The 21,244-nt window shown below is 47.9% G+C and overlaps 1 protein-coding gene across 1 annotated transcript in view, besides 2 other annotated features; it reads left to right on the top strand.

The window, feature by feature from the left end:
- Positions 1-14,646, top strand: part of SVOP (SV2 related protein) — a 113,328-nt gene extending 98,682 nt beyond the window's left edge. Inside the window, exons 13-16 of the mRNA NM_018711.5 lie at positions 2,601-2,712; positions 4,263-4,344; positions 6,515-6,604; positions 9,646-14,646. Coding sequence (NP_061181.1) covers positions 2,601-2,712; positions 4,263-4,344; positions 6,515-6,604; positions 9,646-9,852 — 491 coding nt within the window. The 3' untranslated portion in view covers positions 9,853-14,646. The remainder of the gene's footprint in view (positions 1-2,600; positions 2,713-4,262; positions 4,345-6,514; positions 6,605-9,645) is intronic.
- Positions 3,813-4,328: an enhancer, noted in NCBI's record as "NANOG hESC enhancer chr12:109311835-109312350 (GRCh37/hg19 assembly coordinates)". NCBI's record gives its function as "activates a minimal SCP1, AML or CMV promoter by ChIP-STARR-seq in naive H9 embryonic stem cells {active_cell/tissue: H9 hESC(naive)}" and the evidence as "EXISTENCE:reporter gene assay evidence [ECO:0000049][PMID:30033119]".
- Positions 14,686-15,186: an enhancer, noted in NCBI's record as "H3K27ac hESC enhancer chr12:109300977-109301477 (GRCh37/hg19 assembly coordinates)". NCBI's record gives its function as "activates a minimal SCP1, AML or CMV promoter by ChIP-STARR-seq in naive H9 embryonic stem cells {active_cell/tissue: H9 hESC(naive)}" and the evidence as "EXISTENCE:reporter gene assay evidence [ECO:0000049][PMID:30033119]".

Raw genomic sequence — 21,244 nt, 5'->3', positions numbered from 1 at the left:
TCCCTTGCCCCCAAGTCCCATGGGGATGATGAGGAAGGACCCACGTGGAGGCTACACATGCAATGGATTTTCAACACAGCTGGGGAACCCCAAGCTTAGGGAACCCAAATATTTTATAATAGCCTGCCAGAAACCTCCCTAAGGGAGACATCATCTTTATTATATTGGACGATAAGCCAACCTGCCCTTTGCTCCAGAGGGAAACAGTATCCCTATCTTCCAAGGTTGTTTGCTGTACAAACAACTCTGACATGGTAGCCTGGTCCAAAAGGGCAGCTGATCCCTCTGCTCATAAGATGTGTAGAAATATGAGAAACCCATGGAGAATCATCCTCCAACACCAGGCACACTGGAAAGGAACAGTAGAGTGTCAAAAATCCAAACCTGCACGTGATGCAAAGGTGATCTATCTTTTTTTCTTTTAAGAGGAATAATTATTACAACTACAATAACTTCTAGTATTTATTGAGTACCTGTTGTATGCCAAGGCCTGTGTTAAATGTCTTACAGATGCAATCTTATTTAATCTTGTGAAGTCGTTTAGTTATTCCCATTTTACAGCTGAAGAAACTGAGGCTCAGAGTGGTGACATAATTTGCCCAGTGTAGCAGAAACTGTTCCCGCAACTTGCAACTGCTAGGATTCTGTGCCTGAAGACTATCTCAGAAGGAATGAGAAGTGTCTGTATCTAAAAGCAAGCAAGGTAGCTGGAAGTGCCAAGGAGTTAGCACCTGGGAGCAGCCTTTAAACAATACTGTGGGATTTGGTGGACAAATACCCCAGCGTCCTTGCCCATCAGCAGGAAAACTCCAAGGCGCATGTTCTATGCTGGCTTTTGAGTCCCCCAGTGGAATTCAGCTCCAGTTGCCCACAGTAGTGGGCAACTGCTTGATACCCACCTTTTGTTTGTTGCTTTCCCTTCCCAAATTTACTTCCCCACTCTCCTGCTGGTCCTTTCTTGGATTACCTCCCAAGTCGATGCCTTGCACTTGCATCCTTGTCTCAGGGTTTGCTTCTGGGAAAACCCAACTATGATACTGAGTACCCCACAGCAGGCAGCGCTAAGACCTGTGCTGCCACCCTAGAATTCAGAGTCTTCAGTCCCATACTACACTGTCTATCTTTCCTCTAAAACCCTTTCCCCACACAGCTTAGTAGGTAAGAATGAAGGCTAGAAGTTAAACTCAGCATTTGCAATCTCCATTTCTGTGACTTTAAGAAAGTCACATTACATGACATTTCTGTAACTGGAAGCAGTCACCATTTCTGTGATTTTACCTCTCTGAAACCCAGATTCTTCTTTATTTACTATGTGTATTGTTTTATTTGGTTTTGTTCATTAATGTGCCCCAACCTCCTGGAACAGTTCCTGACACACAGTAGGTGCTCATTGACTGAATAACTGTGGAAAAATGCTATTTGATAAATTAATAGCATGTATTTTAGAGGATCGTTTTGATGACTAAACAAGATTATGGATGTAAAAATGGGGCCGGGCATGGTGGCTCATGCCTGTAATCCTGGTGCTTTGGGAGGCCAAGGCAGGCAGATTACCTGAGGTCAGGAGTTCGAGAGCAGCCTGGCCAAATGATGAAACTCCATCTCTACTAAAACTACAAAAATTAGCTGGGCATGATGGCGTGCACCTGTAGTCCCAGCTACTCAGCAGGCTGAGGCACAGGAATCGCTTGAACCCAGGAGGCGGAGATTGCAATAAGCTGATATCACACGCACCACTGCGCCCCACCCTGGGTGACAGAGTGAAGCTCTGTCAAAAAAAAAAAAAAAAAAAGATGTAAAAATGCTTATCTCAAATTCAGTTATTATTATTACTAATAAGCACTATGCTATACTGCCTCTACTGAGGTAGAGTGTGTTATTTTTTAGGCCCATTTTATAGAAGAAGAAAATGAGGCTCAGAGGAGGTAAGGGACTAGCCCAAGACCACATGGCAAGTTAAAGGGAAAATGAGGCATTAGAACCCAGACATCCTGTTCCCTGGATTCAGTGAATGTCATCATTCAGGCTCCTGCTGGTGCCTGGGTTAGTTATCTATTGCCAGGTAACAAATCATCCCAAAAATGTAGTGGCTTAAAACAATGCACACTTATGATCTCACAGTTGTTGTGGCTTCTCTGGGTGTTCTACTTCAGCATATTTCATGTGGCTGCAATCAAGGCATTGGCCCAGGGTCTGTAGTCTCATCTGAAAGCTCAGCTGGGGCAGGATCCACTCCCATGCTTACTGACATGGTTGCTGGCAAGATTCCATTCCTTGAAGGTTTTTGCACTGAGGGCCTCAGTTCCTTGCTGGCTGTTGGCCAGAGGCTACCTTCAGTTCCTTGCCAACTGGCCTTCTCCATCAAAGCAAATATATGAGAAGGGCCAGGGAAAGAGAACACCAAGACAGAAGTCACAGTCTTTTATCACCTGACCTCAAAAGTGACACCTTATCACTTTTGCTGTCTTCTAGTCATTAGAAGTGAGTCACTAAGTCTAGTCCACCCTCCAGGGGAGGGGATGATACAGGCTGTGCTACGAGGATGGAGGGCATTGGGAATCACATCGGAAGCTGCCTATCTCTCCCCACTCCCCTTCCAGGTGTCCTTGTGACTCTGTGGATTATTGACCGCCTGGGGCGCAAGAAGACCATGGCCCTGTGCTTTGTCATCTTCTCCTTCTGCAGCCTCCTGCTGTTTATCTGTGTTGGAAGGTAGGTGATCTGCAAGCCTAGGTATGAGTTTGAGCACAGGTGGAGGTGTGGGTGCAGGTGTGGGTGCAGGCCCAGGTAGATGTGCGGGCCAGGTGTTAATGTAAGCCCAGGTGGAGGTGCAGGCCCAAGTGTGGGTGTAGGTGTGAATATGGGTACAGGTACAGGTGTGAGTGCATGTGTTGGTGTATGCCCAGGTATGGGTGCAGACCCAGGTGTGTGTATAGACCCAAGTGTGGGCACAGGTGTGGGTATAGGCCCAGGTGTGGGTGCAGGCCCAGGTGTGGGTATAGGCCCAGGTGTGGGTATAGGCCCAAGTGTGGGTGCAGGTATAGGTGCAGGCCCAGGTGTGGGTGCAGGCCCAGGTGTGGGTATTGGCCCAAGTGTGGGTACAGGTGGGGTAGATGCCCAGATGTGGGTGTAAGCTCAAGTGTAGGTACAGGTGTGGGTGAGGCTCAGGTGTGGGTGTAAGCCCAAGTGTGGGTGTAAGCCCAAGTGTAGGTACAAGTGTGGGTGAGGCCCAGGTGTGGGTATTGGCCCAAGTATGGGTGCAGGTGTGGGTGCAGGTAGGGGTACAGACCCAGGTGTGAGTGTAGGCCCAAGTGTGGGTGTAGGGTGTGGGTGCCGGCCCAGGTTGCGGGTATTGGCCCAAGTGTGGGTACAAGTGGGGGTGCAGGTGTCAGTGCAGGCCCAGGAGTGGGTGCAGATACAGGTAAAAAGGTGTAGGTGTTCATTAGGACTGAGGGTCATGGCTGCCTCACAACTGGATAAAAGATCAGGGTCTCTGATGGGGGTTGTAGTCAGGGGAGAACTTTGGCCCCAGTTTTGCTCTAATGATGCCATATTTAGACTTTTGATATCATCTCCCAATGAGATCATAAATGTAGCTATTTATATATATGTTAAAACTGTTAACTTGTTCAATGGAAATATTTCAAATAGATCGTTTTGTAATCCCGTTTTAACATTTCTCCATTTTTCCATTTGCCAAGAGCCTCAAAATATAGAAATGGCTTATGCCTCTATTGATCTCTGAGAGGCCCCAGACCACACCTAGTGAGGAATCTGTGGGCCACCTCCTGGTCTGAGGAAGATTGGGAGATGTAGCTTCGACCCTGAAATGTTAGTGTTCTGGGACATTTATGGGAACAATGGGACAGAGGGTTGGGATCAGAATTATCCTAAGAATACTAAATAGTGGTTTACTTTCCCCAGCTCAGCTGGCCCCTGGCTCAATTCCTGCTCCACCCTCAGCCAAATTCCTGTCTGAGCTTTCCACTATTTATATCACTTCTCCCTAATCTTGTGCCCATCCTGGGCACCACAGGTGTTCCCATCTCTCAGCCTGTTACTTTGAGGAATGATTAACTTACAAAAGCAGGACTGTCAAGATGATACTGAAATATGTGTGCCTGCATGTCTGTATCAATGAGCATCGGGGAGGGGTAACCTTTGCCAATTGCTAGGGCATTGATACTGCCTGGGAAGATAGGACTATGCTGAAACAAGCAGACAGAAAAAAATGCCATCATCTGCCTTTATCCTCCTCCTAGAAATGTGCTCACTCTGTTACTCTTCATTGCAAGAGCGTTTATTTCTGGAGGCTTTCAAGCGGCATATGTTTACACACCTGAGGTAGGAGGGGTGTCTGGGAGCTGCTGGGGAACGGGCAGTGGGGGGAGAGTGGCTGTGGGGGATGCTCTGCTTCCAGAAACCATTAAAAAGAATGAGGTGGTGGGCGCGGTAGCTCATGCCTATAATCCCAACACTTTGGGAGGCCGAGGCAGGAGGATCACTTGAGCCCGGATGTTTGAGACCAGCCTGAGCAACATAGCAAGACCCTCTCTCTAAAAAAATAAAATAAAAATGAGCCAGGCTGTGGTGGCGCACACCTGTAGTTCCAGCTACTCAGAAGGCTGAGGTGGGAGGATCACTTGAGCCTAGGAGTTGAAGGCTGCAGTGAGCCATGGTCATGCCACTGTACTCCAGCCTGGGCAATGGAGCAAAACCCTATCTCAAAAAAAAAAAAAAGAATGAGGTGGATGTCTATGTATTGATGTGGACAAGATTTTAAGACATACTACTGAATGGAAAAGGCAGATTGCAGAATATGTATGATATGATACCATTTATGTATTTTACTTTCTATTTTCCATGTGTATATTTTTGAACATATCTGGGAAGATACATTCCAAAGATATCCCTGATAGTAGGGCCCTATGAGGAGAATTTTCCTGGCAGTGGAAGTAGATCAGGAGAGAATTTAGGCATTTTGATTTTTTACAAGGAGGATATATTTCTATATTGTTTATGTAATTGAGTAAATTGAAATATCATGTAGAAATGCATATGGTATGCACTGAAGAAGTATGTGCTGAATAAGTAAGTGAATGAAGATATATGTGCAATATATAATCCAGAAAAGGCTAGAGGAATATACATAAAAATGTGACAAATCTCGAGTGTTGAGATCCTGAATGAGTTTTATATTTTCCTCTTTAAGTTTTTATTCTTTGCAAGCTTTCTACACTGAGCATTGCATTTGTTAAAACATGTTAGCTAATGTAACAGGGAACCCCCAGAGTGGAGGGTTTTGATACGAGAGCAGCTTCTCACTTATAAAAGAGCCCAGGCCAGGCACAGTGGTTCACGCCTGTAAACCCAGCACTTCGGGAGGCCGAGGCAGGTGGATCGCTTGAGCTCAGGAGTTCAAGACCAACCTGGGTAACATGGTGAAACCTCATCCCTAAAAAACATACAAAAATTAGCTGGGAGTGGTGGCACATGCCTGTTGTCCCAGCTACTCGGGGTGGGGCTGAGGTGGGAGGATCACTTGAACCCGGGGAGGTCGAGGCTGCAGTGAGCCATGATTGTGCCACTGCACTCCAGCCTGAATGACAGAGTGAGACCCTGTCTCAAATAAATAAGTAAATAAAATACTATAAAATAAAAGAGTCCAATATGGGTGTTCTAGGTTGGGGGACAGCTTTCCTCCTCCAGTGATTTGGGAACCCAGGCTCCTCGCATCGTGTGCCTTTCTTATCCAGGGATCTTGCCCCAGGGGACATTTGGCAATGCCTGGGAATATTTTGGATTGTCATAAGGTGGCATGGGGAGGCAGAAGGGCTGCTGGAATCTCGTGGGTAGAGGCCAGGGATGCTGCCAAACATCCTACAACGCACAGCAACCCCCACCCCCATGACAAAGAATGAGCCATCCCAAAACATCCACAGTGCCCAGGCTGAGAAGCCCTCTGGCTTAGGGCCATGGAGTCCTTCTCGCAGCCAGCAGACATGGGAAGGGAGAGGAGAAAACATACCCTTCTTAATTACCTTGGGCTGGAAGATGCACAATCCCTTCTCACTTTGCCACTTAACAAAGCACGTGGCCCCTACTGGGTACAAACTGAGAGACTGTAAACATTTCCATCTCTCTCTTTATGAAGTCCCTTGAAAACCTGTGACCCAGGCTTCAAGGTGAACGCATGAGAAGAAGGTAGAGAGCAACCCCTGAGTTGTGAACTTGTGGCAGTTCCTGGTGGAGGAGTCTTTGGGGAGCCCCCCCCAGGACAGAGTGGACCCCTTTACTGGGTTCCCACCCGCAGCTCAGCCTCTTGCCCTAGGTCTGAGTTGAGCCTCCCATGCCCTTTGGGGTGAGGATCCCTGTCCCTTAAGGGCGTCACCAGCACTGGAGGGATTTGCCCTGACTTCCGGCCTGCCCCTGAGGTTGGTCCTATCAGCTTGGAGCTGGAGTGGTGGGAGGAACCTGCATGTCCCCATGCCTATATCCGGCTGCTGTGTTTCAGGTCTACCCCACGGCAACGCGGGCCCTCGGCCTGGGCACCTGCAGCGGCATGGCAAGAGTGGGTGCTCTCATCACTCCGTTCATCGCCCAGGTAGGTGCTGCCCCCAAATACAGAGGGATGGGGGGTGACAAAACCCCATGCATGGCAAGCAGTTACTACATGCCGACTGTCCCCAGAGCCCTCGGGTTGCATTCGCTCATTTTATCATAACAACACACCCGAGGACAGAAGAAATATTGCCTGCAGATGAGAAAACAGAGGCTCAGGGGCTAAAATGACATGCTCAAGGTCATGCAGCTGGAAAGTAGCCAATCCAGGAGTCAAACCCAGGTCTTCCCTGTGAAGAAAATCCTTGGGCTGCCATATGTTTTGCTTAAAAACAATGTGGATGAAAACAAGTGGGCAATTGTGAGTGAATTAATGCAAGAACAGAAAACCAAATACTGCATGTTCTCTGGGAGCTAGACATTGAATACACATAGACATAAAAATAGGAGTAATGGACACTGGGGACCACTCGACTGGGAAGGAAGGGTGGGAGTCATGGGCTGAAAATTCCACCTATTGGGTACTGGGCTCACTACCTGGGGATGGGGTCATTTGTACCCCCAAACTTCAGCATCATGCAATATATCTGTGTAACAAACCTGCAGTGGACCCCTTAATCTATGATAAAAGTTGATTTTTTTTTTTTTTTTTTGGGATGGAGTCTCGCTTTGTCACCCAGGCTGGAGTGCAGTGGTGTGATCTCAGCTCACTGTGACCTCCGCCTCCCAGGTTCAAGCGATTCTCCTGCCTCAGCCTCCCGAGTAGCTGGGATTACAGGCGTGCACCACCACGCCTGGCTAATTTCTGTATTTTTAGTAGAGACAAGGTTTCACCACGTTGGCCAGGATGGTCTCGATCTCTTGACCTTGTGATCTGCCTGCCTCGGCCTCCAAAGTGCTGGGATTACAGGCATGAGCCACTGTGCCTGGCCAAAAAAATTTTTTTTTTTTTAACAAAAGGAAAGAAGGGTCAGGTGCTGTGTCTCACGCCTGTAATCCCAGCCCTTTAGGAGGCTGAGGCGGGCAGATCACTTCAGGTCAGGAGTTCGAGACCAGCCTGGCCAACATGGTGAAACCCCCATCTCTACTAAAAATACAAAAATTAACTAGGTGTGGTGGCAGGTGCCTGTAATTCTGGCTGAGGCACAAAAATTGCTTGAACCCAGGAGGCAGAGTTTGCAATGAGCCAAAATTGCTCCACTACACTCCGGCCTGGGCGATAGAGTGAGACCTTGTCTCAAAAAGAAAAAAAAAGGAAAGAAAACAAGTATGCCGACAAAATTTAGTGGAAAACAAATAAATATGCCAGTTCCTGCTTTTTGAATTAGATAATTAGACGTCATTGCAGAATTTTGCAACTCTTCGTGTGTCATGAAGCATTTGTATCTAGGGATCTTAGTAAGTCTTTTTGCTTTTTGAAAATCCAGGTTTTTTTCTGTTTGAATCACTTTTTTATTGAGGTAAACGTCACATAACAAAATTAACCATCTTAAAGGGAACAATTCAGTGGCATTCAGCACATTCACAGCGTTGGGCAACCACTGCTTCTATCTAGTTCCAAAACATTCTCATCACCCCAAAATAAACCCCTGGATCCACTAAGCAGTCACTCCTCATTGCCCACTTCCTCTAGGCTCCTGGCAACCACCCATCTGCTTTCTGTAGATTTGCCAAGTCTGAATATTGCAGAGAAATGGAATTTAAAGACGTGTTTAGCCAAGTGTTTCTATTCTACTTTGATTTTAGCCGTTGTGTGGCACTCCTAACTGATGCTGGTTGAGAGCTCACCATGTGCCTCCACGGTGCCAGGTGCTGCCAGGTTCTTCCCATTAGGAAGTGACACCACTCTATGCCCATTTGGCAAATGAAGAAATGGGCTGGGCATGGTGGCTCACAGCTGTAATCCCAGCACTTTGGGAGGCTGAGGTGGGCAGATTACTTGAGGTCAGGTGTTCAAGTCCAGCCTGGTCAATTTGGTGAGACTCCATCTCTCTTAAAAATACAAAAGAATTAGCCAGGCATGGTGGCATATGCCTGTAGTCCCAGCTACTCAAAAGGCTGAGGCAGAAAAATTGCTTGAACCCGGGAGGCAGAGGTTGCAGTGAGCCAAGATTGCACCACTGCACTCCAGCCTGGAGACAGAGCGAGACTACATCTCAAAAGAAAAGAAAATGGGACTCAGCTCTGCCGTGTTGTTTGCCATGTGCCAAAAGCTAGGAAGTTGGCACAGGCACTGCACTGTTCCAGAGGAGAGAAGAGTTATAAGGAGCCCAGACTCAAGCTTAGCAGACCCAAGTTCAAATCCCAGCCCCATCCTTATTATCTGTATGAACTTGGGTAGGAACCACTTATCCTCTTTGAGCCTCAGTTTTCTCCTTTGTAAAATGGGGATGAAGTACTTAGCTCATAGGGCTGTGGCATGGCATCTGTGTTGGTCCGTTTTGTGTTGATTTCAAGGAATACCTGGCTGGGCGTGTTGGCTCATGCCTGCAATCCCAGCACTTTGGGAGGCCAAGGTGGGTGGATCACCTGAGGTCAGGAGTTCGAGACCAGCCTGACCAACATGGAGAAACCCCATCTCTACTAAAAATACAAAATTAGCCGGGCGTGGTGGCAGAAGCCTGTAATCCCAGCTACTTGGGAGGAGAATCGCTTGAACCCTGAAGGCGGAGGTTGCGGTGAGCCAAGATTGCGCCATTGCACTCCAGTCTGGGCAACAAGAATGAAACTCATCTCAAAAAAACAAAAAAAACAAAAAACAAAAAAAAGAATACTTGAGATCAGGTAATTTATAAAGAAGAGATTTATTTGACTCACGATTCTGCAGGCTGTACAAGCATGGCACCAGCATCTGCTTGGCTTCTGGTGAGGCCTCAGGAAGCTTTTACTCATGGAGGAAGGCAAAGGAGGGGCAGGCGTGTCACAAGGAGAGAGAGGGACAAAGGGGGAGAGGAGGGAATCACCAGATCCTTTTTAGCAAGCAGATATCACGAGAGGGCCTGATGTTACTAATACTATTTGATGGTTGGCGATGTCTGTGCTTCAGAAGGGATGCTTTCACCGACCCGTGTCTCCTTCCCCTAGGTGATGCTGGAATCCTCTGTGTACCTGACTCTGGCAGTTTACAGTGGCTGCTGCCTCCTGGCTGCCCTGGCCTCCTGCTTTTTGCCCATTGAGACCAAAGGCCGAGGACTGCAGGAGTCCAGCCACCGGGAGTGGGGCCAGGAGATGGTCGGCCGAGGAATGCACGGTGCAGGTGTTACCAGGTCGAACTCTGGCTCTCAGGAATAGTGACCGATGGGGGACTGAGCTGGTCTTTGAGGCTGCAGAGCTTGGGGGGCTGGCAGGCCCCAACTGGGGCACTGATTGTCACTGCCGACATCAAGAACTCACCCAAGAGTATGACCTGGACCAACAGGGTTTTGTGTCTTGACTCAGTTTGCTCATCTTCATTGAGGTCCACCCAGGGATGGGGAGATGTTTGCTCTAGGGGGTTCTCTGTATATGTGGTGAAAGCTTTGTTCATAACCTGTGGATCTACATGGGAAGACTACCCATATTAGGAGGGTCTGGTAATGCCAGCAACCAATCAGACACCACCCAGAGTCACCCGGCCAAACCCTCAGTGAACAACCAAAATATCTCTCTGTAGATACCGTCCAGGCTCAGGCCCATGTGACACCTGCTGTCCACCCACCGGACCTGTTCAGTAGGTTTCTCCCACACTCACAGCCCCAGGCTTTCTTCTTTGAAATTGCAGGCGATCTAGGTGTGGTCTGAGCAGCTATTTCCTGGCAGGGGCCCCCCGGTTTGCCTCCCTAGAGCCTGACCAGTGGATTCTCTGGCAGATGGACATGGTGCATTCAAACTGGAGCCACATGCCCCCACCCAGCCCCCTCTGGAGTTGCCGTTGTTGGCACCAAGAGATCCAGATGTGTCCCTGGGGACAGCTGGTCTTGCACCAGGTGACAACCTCAGAACGCCGTTACCCCCTGGGAACTGAGGACTGAGGCCAAAGTGAATCAAGCTGAAGTCAGAGCACGGGCCTCCCCTTCTGAAGCAGCGAAGGCCACGGTTCCGACTTCTTTCCTGGCCCCCTCCTTGGTCAGGCTGAATGGTGACTTTTATTGTTTTTTGAGACGGAGTCTTGATCTGTCGCCCAGGCTGGAGTGCAGTAGCGTGATCTCGGCTCACTGCAACTCTGCCTCCCGGGTTCAAGCAATTCTCCTGTCTCAGCCTCCCGAGTAGCTGGGATTACAGGTGCCCACCTGTACTTTTTAGTAGAGACAGGGTTTCACCATGTTGGCCAGGCTGGTCTCGAACTCCTGACCTCAAGTGATCCACCCGCCTCGGCCTCCCACAGTGCTGAGATTACAGGTGGGAGCCACTGCACCCGGCCTGAATGATGACTCTTGAGGGGAAAAAGTTTACTCAGGTTTGCAGGTACAAAATCCAAAATCCAGGGCTTTGGGTTTTGTGCATGGGTAGACAGCTGAATGGGCAGAGAAACCAGAAGGATGCTACACCCACCATCTCATCCCATGGGGATCAGGGGACCAGGATTCCCTGATGCGAAGCTGCTCCTCTGTCCAGGGACGTCTTGATCATTACACAAAGGCAGCCCCTGGAGTTCCATTCATGGAGCCTGCCGTGGAGTGGAGAGGGGTGGGAGGACTCAGGTGTGTGAAATGTATATGTTTTCAAAGGAAGCAGTGGGAGGCCAGTTGGTTTTGAGTTGGTCTCCGCAGGCAACATCACTTCTGGGATTTGGTTTACTGGAGCCTTTTTTCCCATGGTGAAGGCAGGGGACATAGACAAGGAGGGAGGAAGCTGGCAGATCCCATCAAAGGCCAGAGCAGACAGACCTACTGCTTGAAGTAAACATTGCAAGGAAGCCAATTTGTGCGTTCAACTCTTATTAAAACATGTCAGTGATGGACATTGCAAGAGCCTAAGTTTATTCATTGTCATCATGTCCTAGTGACAGTCCAGCCTAACGGTCTGACTACCTTTGTTCATCGGAATTCATCTCAATGCTTTAGTGTGATAATCTCCTTTCCAATGAGTGGGGAAAGACATACCGTTGGCAGCCAACATTGTGGCTGAGCTTGTTGGAGACAACACTTTCTTCTAATGGTGTGCAGGTCATGATGGGGGACTTCTTCCAGCTCAAGTTCTAAATCAACTGCAAACAATACTGTGTCTCTAAAATGTGGGCTGCAGCCCCCTCCGCCCAGGCAGTTGAAGAGGAGATGGCTTGGCAGATCTCTGTCTCTCTCTGACAACCACATTTCCTTGAACCACGTGTGGCTGTAGCTCTAATTATTTCTGGACAGCTGAGCTCTCCTGGGTAACACAGAACTTTTGCTTGTCTCTTTTGCCTTCCGGCTGGTCAGACGCTACTGGATGATCATGTCCGCTCCCTCACCCTAGAATAACCCAGTGGAGCTGGGGGCTGGGGGGGATAGAGTGCTTGGTGGGCAGGAATATTTCCCAGAGACTAGGGTAAAGGGGTTTACAGTTGAGGGCCTTCTCTACTTGAGAAAGTGAAAGTTAAAAACTCCTGCTGGGTATGGTGGCTCATGCCTATAATCCCAGCACTTTTGGAGGCCGAGGCGGGCGGATCACAAGGTCAGGAGATCGAGACCATCCTGGCTAACATGGTGAAACCCCGTCTCTACTAAAAATACAAAAAAAAATTAGCCAGGTGTGGTGGCGGGTGCCTGTAGTCCCAGCTACTCAGGAGGCTGAGGCCGGAGAATGGCGTGAACCCAGGAGGCAGAGCTTGCAGTGAGCCGAGATCGCGCCACTGCACTCCAGCCTGGGCGACAGAGCAAGACTCCATCTCAAAAACAAAACAAAACAAAACAAAAACTCTTTGCCTTGTAAATAGCCTGCCTTTTTCAAAAAAATCAATATTATCAAATGATACAAGAGCTATCACAAAAGGCACCCAAACTTCTGAATATGTGAGACCTTTAGCTGAGAACATTTGTATCTAATTTTGAACAATCCTATTCAAAAAGCTCCTATTTTCGTTAATGGAAATGCCATGTTTCTCTTAGAGTTACGAAAGATCTCAGAAAGTGGCAAAAGATATTTAATGTAGCCAGAGCTATATATTTCTGTTTTTCTCGTACTTCAAGTATTCTGAAAAACATATAACTGACCTTGGTGGTGTTCACAATGGGATGAAACAGTATCTTAGGAATTGACTTTGAAATTAGTATGGAAATTCATTGTTTTTAATATAACATTGAGCAACAGAAAGCCTTGAATGATAAGATCAAGAGTCTCCCCTGCCATTATTTTCAATGGCAAAAACTGCAATTACTTTTTTTTTTTTTTTGAGATGAAGTCTCAGCTCACTGCAACTCTGTCTCCCAGGTTCAAGCGATTCTCCCTCCTCAGCCTCCTGAGTAGCTGGGATTACAGGTGCCCGCCTTGATGCTTGGCTAATTTTTGTATTTTTAGTATAGACAAGGTTTCACCATGTTGGTCAGGCTGGTCTCAAACTCCTGACCTCAAGTGATCCGCCCACCTTGGCCTCCCAAATGCAATTACTTTTGCACCAACCTAAGAACAGTAATCTCAGTCAATAGTGGCTTAAACCATTAGAACCAAAACCAGGCAGAGATCAGAGAAGGTTCAACGCTCAACAATGTTATCAAGAACCCAGCTTCTTTTTGCCTTTTCTTTTCACCATCCTCTGCATGTTGGCCATCTGACCCTGTGCTTGAAACCTCATGGTCACAAAATGGCTGCCCCTGTGCTGGACATCATATTTCTTTTCAAAGAAGGTAGAATGGGAAAGGAGCAGTCATAAAAGGTTTTCTTTCAGAAGAGTCTGTTGGTTTTGGTTAGAAAAGGAAGTCCCCTGGCAGATTTACCATTGCTTCTCATTGATCAGACCTGGGTGTCATGCCCATCCCAGCATGAGTCCTGCTGTAGGGCTGGAAGGAAGGGCCTACGAGCACCAAGGGATACCCACAGCCTCCTGAACACAAAATTGGGATTCTGTTAGCACAGAAGAAGGATAGCAATGGCTGTTGGATGGGCGATGGTTGCAAGGAGCCTGCCGTGGATGTGTAGGCCACAGAGCTCTCATCAGCACTGTTTTCGTGGCCAGGAACAGAAATTCTACTCAGGATAATTAAAATTAAGGAACAGAGCTTTATTATAAGACTGGGATCGGTAGTTAATTTCCTACAGGGGAAATTCAGGGCATGTAAATCAGTGAAATGGAAAAGGTGTAAGGACAAGAGAAACACCAGCCCTGTCTGCAGGGGGGGGCTGCAACTCCCTTCCAGCTGATGTTGTTCCACCATGGGTCCAGTGTGACCAGATCTTACAATGTTCAAAAGAGGAGTCTAGGTTTTTCTGTGAAATCTCCAAATATTAGTATATTGGATCAAAAATGTTCAAATGATGTGTGAGCTCAATAAAATGCATCTGCAGTGCAGCTTTGGTTGATGGGCTGATGGTTCACTCTGACAGTTTAGAGAGATTGCATAGGAATAAAGTACAGCCTGGTGTCATTCAGAGGAACAGGGATCTGGGAAACCACTGGGGCCCAAGACAGCTGCCCCTCTGAATCTGTGGCTCTTGTTTCTTCCCTTTTCTGGCAGAAATGAGTCTAGCTTCCATCTGTTTCCTTGTGGCTGCTGTGTATGCATAATCATGCACAGAGCTTCCATAGCCTCATAACCCAGCTCTGCAAACATACCTGACTCAGCTGCTCAGTGCCCCACTCCCAGATCTTCAGGAATGAAGCTGATTGGCCCAGTTTAGTGTTGGATTGAGTCTTGGTCCAATTCAATTGGGTCAGGAAGAAGTGGTGGAGAGGTACAGACACGGTGGCATTGGCCTGCCCTTTAGCAGGGTGGTGCAGACAATTGCTGGTATGCCTGGAATCTGCAGTGACATGTGCATAAACTCTCAAGTCTATTCATCAGAACTCTCTTACAGATCATAACGTGGCAAGTGGTCAGTATGCATGGAATATCCAGCATGTCCTGGACATGTTATTCAACACTGAGGATGCAAAATATCATAAGACATGGTCCTGGCTGGGTGCAGTGGCTCATGCCCATAATCCCAGCACTTTGGGAGGCTGATGCGGGAGGATCACTTGAGGCCAGGAGTTTGAGGCGGCAGTTCGCTTTGATCGTGCCACAGCATTCCAGCCTGAATGATAGAATGACAGATCCTGTCTCTTAAAAAACAAAACAAAACAAAACAAAACAAGCCAGGTGTGGTGGCTCATGACTGTAATCCCAGCACTTAGGAGGCCAGACGGGAGGATCGCCTGAGCCCAGAAGTTTGAGACCAGCCTGGGCAACATGACAAAACCCTGACTCCAAAAAGAATACAAAAATTAGCCAAGCCTGGTGGTGTGCTCCTGTGGTCCCAGCTACTTGGAGGCTGAGGTGGGAGAATCACCTGAGCCTGGGAAGTCGAGGCTGTAGTGAGCTGTGACCATGCCACTGCACTCCAGCCTGGGTAACAGAGTGAGACTCTGGCTCAAGAAAAATAAAAGAAGAAGGAAGAGGAGGAGAAGGAAGGAGGAGGAGGAGGAAGAGGAAGAAGGAAGAGGAAAAGGAAGAGGAAGAGGAGGAGGAGAAGAAGGAGGAGGAGAAGGAGGAGAAGGAGGAGGAGGAGGAGAAGCAGGAGGAGGAGAAGAAGGAGGAGGAGGAGGAGAAGGAGGAGGAGGAGAAGGAGGAGGAGTAGGAGAAGGAGGAGGAGGAGGAGATATTCCTTATCTTCAAGCTCTCACAGTATACTAGGGAACATGCATGAACACACCACTGTGATACAGTGTGATACGGGTGCTAAGGATGAATGCAGAGAGTGTCGTAGGAGGCACAAGGGATGACAACCCTGAAGCTCTAGAGCATCCTGAAGCACCTTCTGACTCCTCAAGGATTTGGGGGTTTCAGGCAGACTTTGGTCACTGGTGGTACCTTACTATATTTTATATTTGAATATCCACATACATCATATATAATCATTCTCTCTTTTTTGAGATGCTATGTTGCCCAGGCTGGTCTCGAACTCCTAGGCTCAATCGATCCTCCCACATCAGCCTCCCAAGTAGCTGGGATTACAGGAATGAGCCACGGTGTCTGGCAATAATCATTCTCAATTAATCAAGAATATTTTATGATGAACTACTTAAAATGCCCCAACCCCCACCATGCCAGAGAAGAGAGTGCTTTCTAAATTCATCGATAAGAAAACAATTCCACTCCCAAGAGCATCAAAACAAATAAAATACTTAGGAATAAATTTAACAAGTGCAGTGTAAGACCTACAAACTACAAAACATTGCTGAAAGAAACTGAAGATCTAAATAAATGGAGAAACATTTCATATTCATGAATCAGAAGACCTAAATTGTTAAGATGTCAATCCATACTCTCCAAATGACATATAGATTCAACACAATCCCTGTCAAACTTTCTCAGCCAGCTGGCTTATTTTGAAGAAATTGTCAAGCTGTTTTTTTTTTTGTTTTTTTTTTTTGAGACAGAGTCTTGCTCTGTCACCCAGGCTGGAGTGCAATGGTGCGATCTTGGCTCACTGCAACCTCCACCTCCTGGGTTCAAGCGATTCTCCTGTCTCAGCCTCCTGAGTAGCTGGGATTACAGGCATGTGCCACCATGCCCAGCTAATTTTTTGTATTTTTGGTAGAGACGGGGTCTCACCATGTTGCCCCTGCTGGTCTTGAGCTCCTGCCCCCAAGTGATCCACGGGCCTCAGCCTCCCAAAGTGCCGGGATTACAGGTGTGAGCCACCATGCCTAGCCTGTCAGGCTGATTTTAAACTCATACAGAAATGAAAAGGACCCAGAAGAGCCAAAACAAAAGTCTTGAAAAAGAGGAACAAAGTTGGAGGACTCACACTTCCTGATTTTAAAATGTACGAGAATGCTACGGAAATCAAGACAGTGTGGTACTAGCATAAGATAGATCTGTGGAATAGGGTCCAAAAATAAACACATACATTTATTTTTATTTTTATTATGGAGACAGCATCTTGCTCTGTCATCCAGGCTGGAGTGCAGTGGCATGATCACAGCTCACTGCAGCCTCGACTTCCCAGGCTCCAGCGATCCTCCCACCTCAGCCTCCCAAGTAGCTGGGACCACAGGTGTGCACCACCACGCCCAGCTAATTTTTGTATTTTTGGTAGAGACAGGGTTTTGCCATGTTGCCCAGGGTGGTCTCGAATTCCTGAGCTCAAGTGATCCGCCCACCTAGCCCTCCCAGTGTTGGGATTAGAGGCATGAGCCACTGTGCCTGACCAAACCCATACATTTATAGTCAACTGATTTTCCACAAAAGTGCCAAGACGATTCGATGAGGAAAGAATAGCCTTTTCTAAATTCATCAAGCTGCCAAGAATTCACTGAAAATCCAGTTGCAAATTGCCTTCAGGACAGAAGTAGCAGTGTTAGGCAAAGGAAAAGTATAACATATCCTCGAATAACTTATTTCATTACAACCTCGATGAGAAATAAAAAAAAAAAAAATCAATTCCGGCAGGGGCCACTGTCTGTGTAGAGCTTGCACGTTCTCTCCATGTCTACATGGGTGTTCTCCGGGTATCCGGTTTCCTCCCACACCCCAAAGATGTGCATGTGATATTCATTCCTGTTTTTATTTTATTTTAATTAATTTTTTAGGAGACAGAGTCTCGCTCTGTCACCCAGGCTGGAGTGCAGTGGCATGGTCTAGGCTCACTGCAACCTCCACCTCTCAGGTTCAAGCAATTCTTGTGCCTCAGCCTTCCAAGTTGCTGGGATTACAGGCATGTGCCACCACACTCGGCTAATTTTTTAGCCACGACATTAAGTGAAGACTTCCTGTGTAAAAATCAACCACTATAAAATTTACAGAACTATGTGGGTTGCAGGATTTCCCCATGATCCTTCTATTCTTAATTTTAGTATACATTTTCAAGGAGGTTCTTAGCATTTGCAGAAAGAACAAGAGGGTCATTCTGGGTCTGAATGTGGAATCTCGTGTCCCCATACAATTTTGTGAGTTCACTGTGTACTGAGTCCTATAGGATTTCTACTGACAGCTAGCCTTGGCTGGCAGGTAGGGATCATTCTCCCTAGGCCAGGTGTCCCCAACCTTTTTGGCACCAGGGACTGGTTTTGTGGAAGACAATTTTTCCACAGATGGGGTGCTGTGGGGGTGCTGTGGGGGGCAGTGGTAGTTCAGGCATTAGATTTCTCATAAGGGGCTGGGGGTGGTGGCTCATGCCTGCAATCCCAGGAGTTTGGAAGGCCAAGGTGGGTGGATCATTTGAGGTCAGGAGTTCAAGAACAGCCTGGCCAACATGGTAAAACCCTGCCTCTATTAAAAATACAAAAATCAGCCAGGCGTGGTGGCACGCACCTGTAGTCCCAATTACTTGAGAGACTGAGGCAGGAAAATCTCTTGAACCCAGGAGGTGGAGGGTTCAGTGAGCCGAGATTATGCCACTGCACTCCAGCCTGGGTGACAGAACGAGACTCAGTCTCGAAAAACAAAAAACAAAAGCAAAAAAAAAAACAAAAAGCAAATTCTCATAAGGAGCAAGCAACCTAGATCCCTCGCATGCACAGTTCACAATAGGGTTTGCACTCCTATGAGAATCTAATGCCACCGCTGATCTGACAGGAGGCAGAGTTCATGCGGTAATGCTCGCTCACCCACCACCCATGCCCTGCTGTGTGGCCCAGTTCCTAATAGGCCACAGACCATTATCAGTCCATGGCCCGGGGGTTGGGGGCCCCTGCCCTACAGAATTTTAGGCTGGATAAAGAAATCACATTGGTCAAAAACTAAATCCTGGGTCTTACTCCAAGCACCAGGAAGTGCCCTTGCCCTGGGATCCTTGTCAGAGTCCTCTCATCTTGGCCCAAATGTAGCTATGAGGAAGAGAGAGCTAGTTCCTTTTCAGTGTGCTTGCGGAGAGAGTTGAGGAAGAGGCCCAACCGATCCCTTCATAGCTACATATTCCCCACCCCGCCAACACCCCCTGCTCCCCTCCACAATTTGGATTCAGTCTTGTGTGGTAGTTGAAAGTGAAGCACTCGGCCTGGTGCGGTGGCTCACGCCTGTAATCCCAGCACCTGGGAGGCCGAGGTGGGCAGATCACAAGGTCAGGAGTTTGAGACCAGCCTGACCAACATGGTGAAACCCCGTCTCTACTGAAAACACAAAAATTAGCCGGCCATGGTGGTGCGTGCCTGTAATCTCAGCTACTCGTGAGGCTGAGGCAGGACAACTGTTTGAACCCGGGAGGCGGAGGTTGCAATGAGTCAAGATCATGCCACTGCACTCCAGCTTGTGCGACAGAGCAAGACTCTGTCGGGGGCGGGGAAAGAAAGTGAAGCACTGGAATTGCATAATTTCTGAGCCAGAATCTCTATTCTATCGCATCCCAGCTATTGACTTTAGGCTACCTTCCATCCTTTCTCTCTTTTCTTTTCTTTTCTTCTTTTCTTTCTTTCCTTCCTTCCTTCCTTCCTTCCTTCCTTCCTCTCTCTCTCCCTCCCTCCCTCTTTCCCTCCCTCCCTCCCTCTTTCTTTCTTTCTCTTTCTTTTTTTTTTTGACAGAGCCTCACTGTGTTGCCCAGGCTGGAGTGCAGTGGCATGATCTAGGCTCACTGCAACCTCCGCCTCCTAGGTTCAAGTGATTTTCCTGCCTCAGCCTCCAGAATAGCTGGGATTACAGGCACCTGCCAGCACGCCCCGCTAATTTTTTTATTTTTAGTAGAAACAGGGTTTCACCATGTTGGCCAGGCTTGTGTCGAACTCCTGACCTCAAGTGATCTACCTGCCTCGCCCTCCCAAAGTGCTGGGATTACAGGTGTAAGCCACCGCACCCGGCCAGGCTGCCTTTCTCTGCCTCAGTCTTCTCACCTATGAAATGGGATAATAGCTACCTCATGAGGCATGTGTAAGGATTAAATGAGCAATGTTTTGTAAGAGTTTAGCACAAAGTATGGTACCCAGACTGAATATATTAAGTTTTAGCTATAATAATAATTACTGGCTGGGCGCGGTGGCTCATACCTGTAATCCCAGCACTTCGGGAGGCCAAGGCAGGTGGCTCATGAGGTCAGGAGTTCACAACCAGCCTGGCCAAGATGGTGAAACCCCATCTTTACTTAAAATACAAAAATTAGCCAGGCAGGTTGGCGGGCGCCTGTAATCCCAGCTACTCTGGAAGCTGAGGCCGAGAATTGCTTGAACCTGGGAGGTGAAGGTTGCAGTGAGCTGAGATTGCGCCACTGCACTCCAGCCTGGGCGACAGAGTGAGATTCCGTCTCAAAATAATAACAATAATAACTGTTGTTGTTAGGATTGATGTCTACCTTAAATCTCGGCTCTCTCACCCTACTTAGACTAGGCTTGGCCAGCATCATGGCAGGTGCTTCATGAAACAGCCCTCATGGAAATGGCAGGGCATGGCAGGAGCCAACTGAGACCTCTTCACAGCACACGGGGCACTCCTGGGCCAAGATGCACGAGGCTTCCTAGGCTCTGGCCTGTCACAGAAACCCAGACAGGTGAAAATCGACCTCAGAGGCTGAGGCTGGTAATTAGGGATGAAGATGCTATGGGGTCTCCCAGGCTCATTTAAGGCTTTCAAAAACATCTGGGAGCTTGTTTGTCATTTCCGAGGGTGCCAGCCCAAAGACAAGAGAGATGTTAAATTGCCCCCCAAAAAAGGAGTATGCTTGGTGAGTTTAGTTCTTGCTATTGCTTAAACGTCCCTGCCAAAACTCACGTTGAGACTTAGTCCTTAGTCCACCACCTTAGTGGTGGTCTGGAGAGGTGGCGCCTTTAAGAGGTGATTGGATCCTAAGAGCGCTGCTCTCATAAATGGATTAATCCATTTATCAATTAATGGGTTATTAGGTTAATGGATTAATGGGTCATCTTGGGAAGGAAAATGGTGGCTTTCTAAGACAAGGGACAGAGCTGAGCTAGCACATTAGCACAATCAGCCCCCTCACCACGTGATGCCCTAAGCCTCCCTGGGACTCTGCAGAGAGTCCCCACCTCTGCACCAGCCAGAGAGAAGGCTCTCACCAGATGTGGCCCCTCAACCTTGGACTTCTCAGACTCTATAACGGTAATAAATAAATTCCTTTTCTCTATTAATTCCACAGTTTCCGCCAGGCGTGGTGGCTTATGCCTATAATCCCACCACTTTGGAGGCTGAGGCAGGAGGATCACTTGATCCCAGGAGTTCAACGCCAGCCTGGACAACATGGCCAAACCCAGTCTCTACAAAACACTCTCTACAAAACACACACACACACACACACACACAAAATTAGCTGGGCATGGTAGCAAGCGCCTGTAGTCCCAGCTACTCGGGTGGCTGAGGAGGGAGGATCATTTGAGCCTGGGAGGCGGAGGTTGCAGTGAGCCAAAATCATGCCACTGCACACCAGCCTGGGTGACAGAGTGAGATCCTGTCTCAAAAAAAAAAAAAAAAAATCTCCAGTTTCAGATATTCTGTTATAAGCAACAGAAAATGGACTAAAACAGTTCTCTATGAAGGGGTTCCTTGTGGGATGATCCCTCCAGTGGCCCCTCCTCAAAGGTTACGTGGTGCTCATGGGGCCACTCGGTGAATAGCTGATGCCATTTGGAATTCTAGATGTGGAACAA

The sequence above is a fragment of the Homo sapiens genome, chromosome 12 (genome assembly GCF_000001405.40).
Source record: "Homo sapiens chromosome 12, GRCh38.p14 Primary Assembly".
Taxonomy (NCBI): Eukaryota; Metazoa; Chordata; class Mammalia; order Primates; family Hominidae; genus Homo; species Homo sapiens.
Note: the sequence above shows the minus strand (reverse complement) of the source record. Positions and strands in the feature narration are given on the sequence as shown.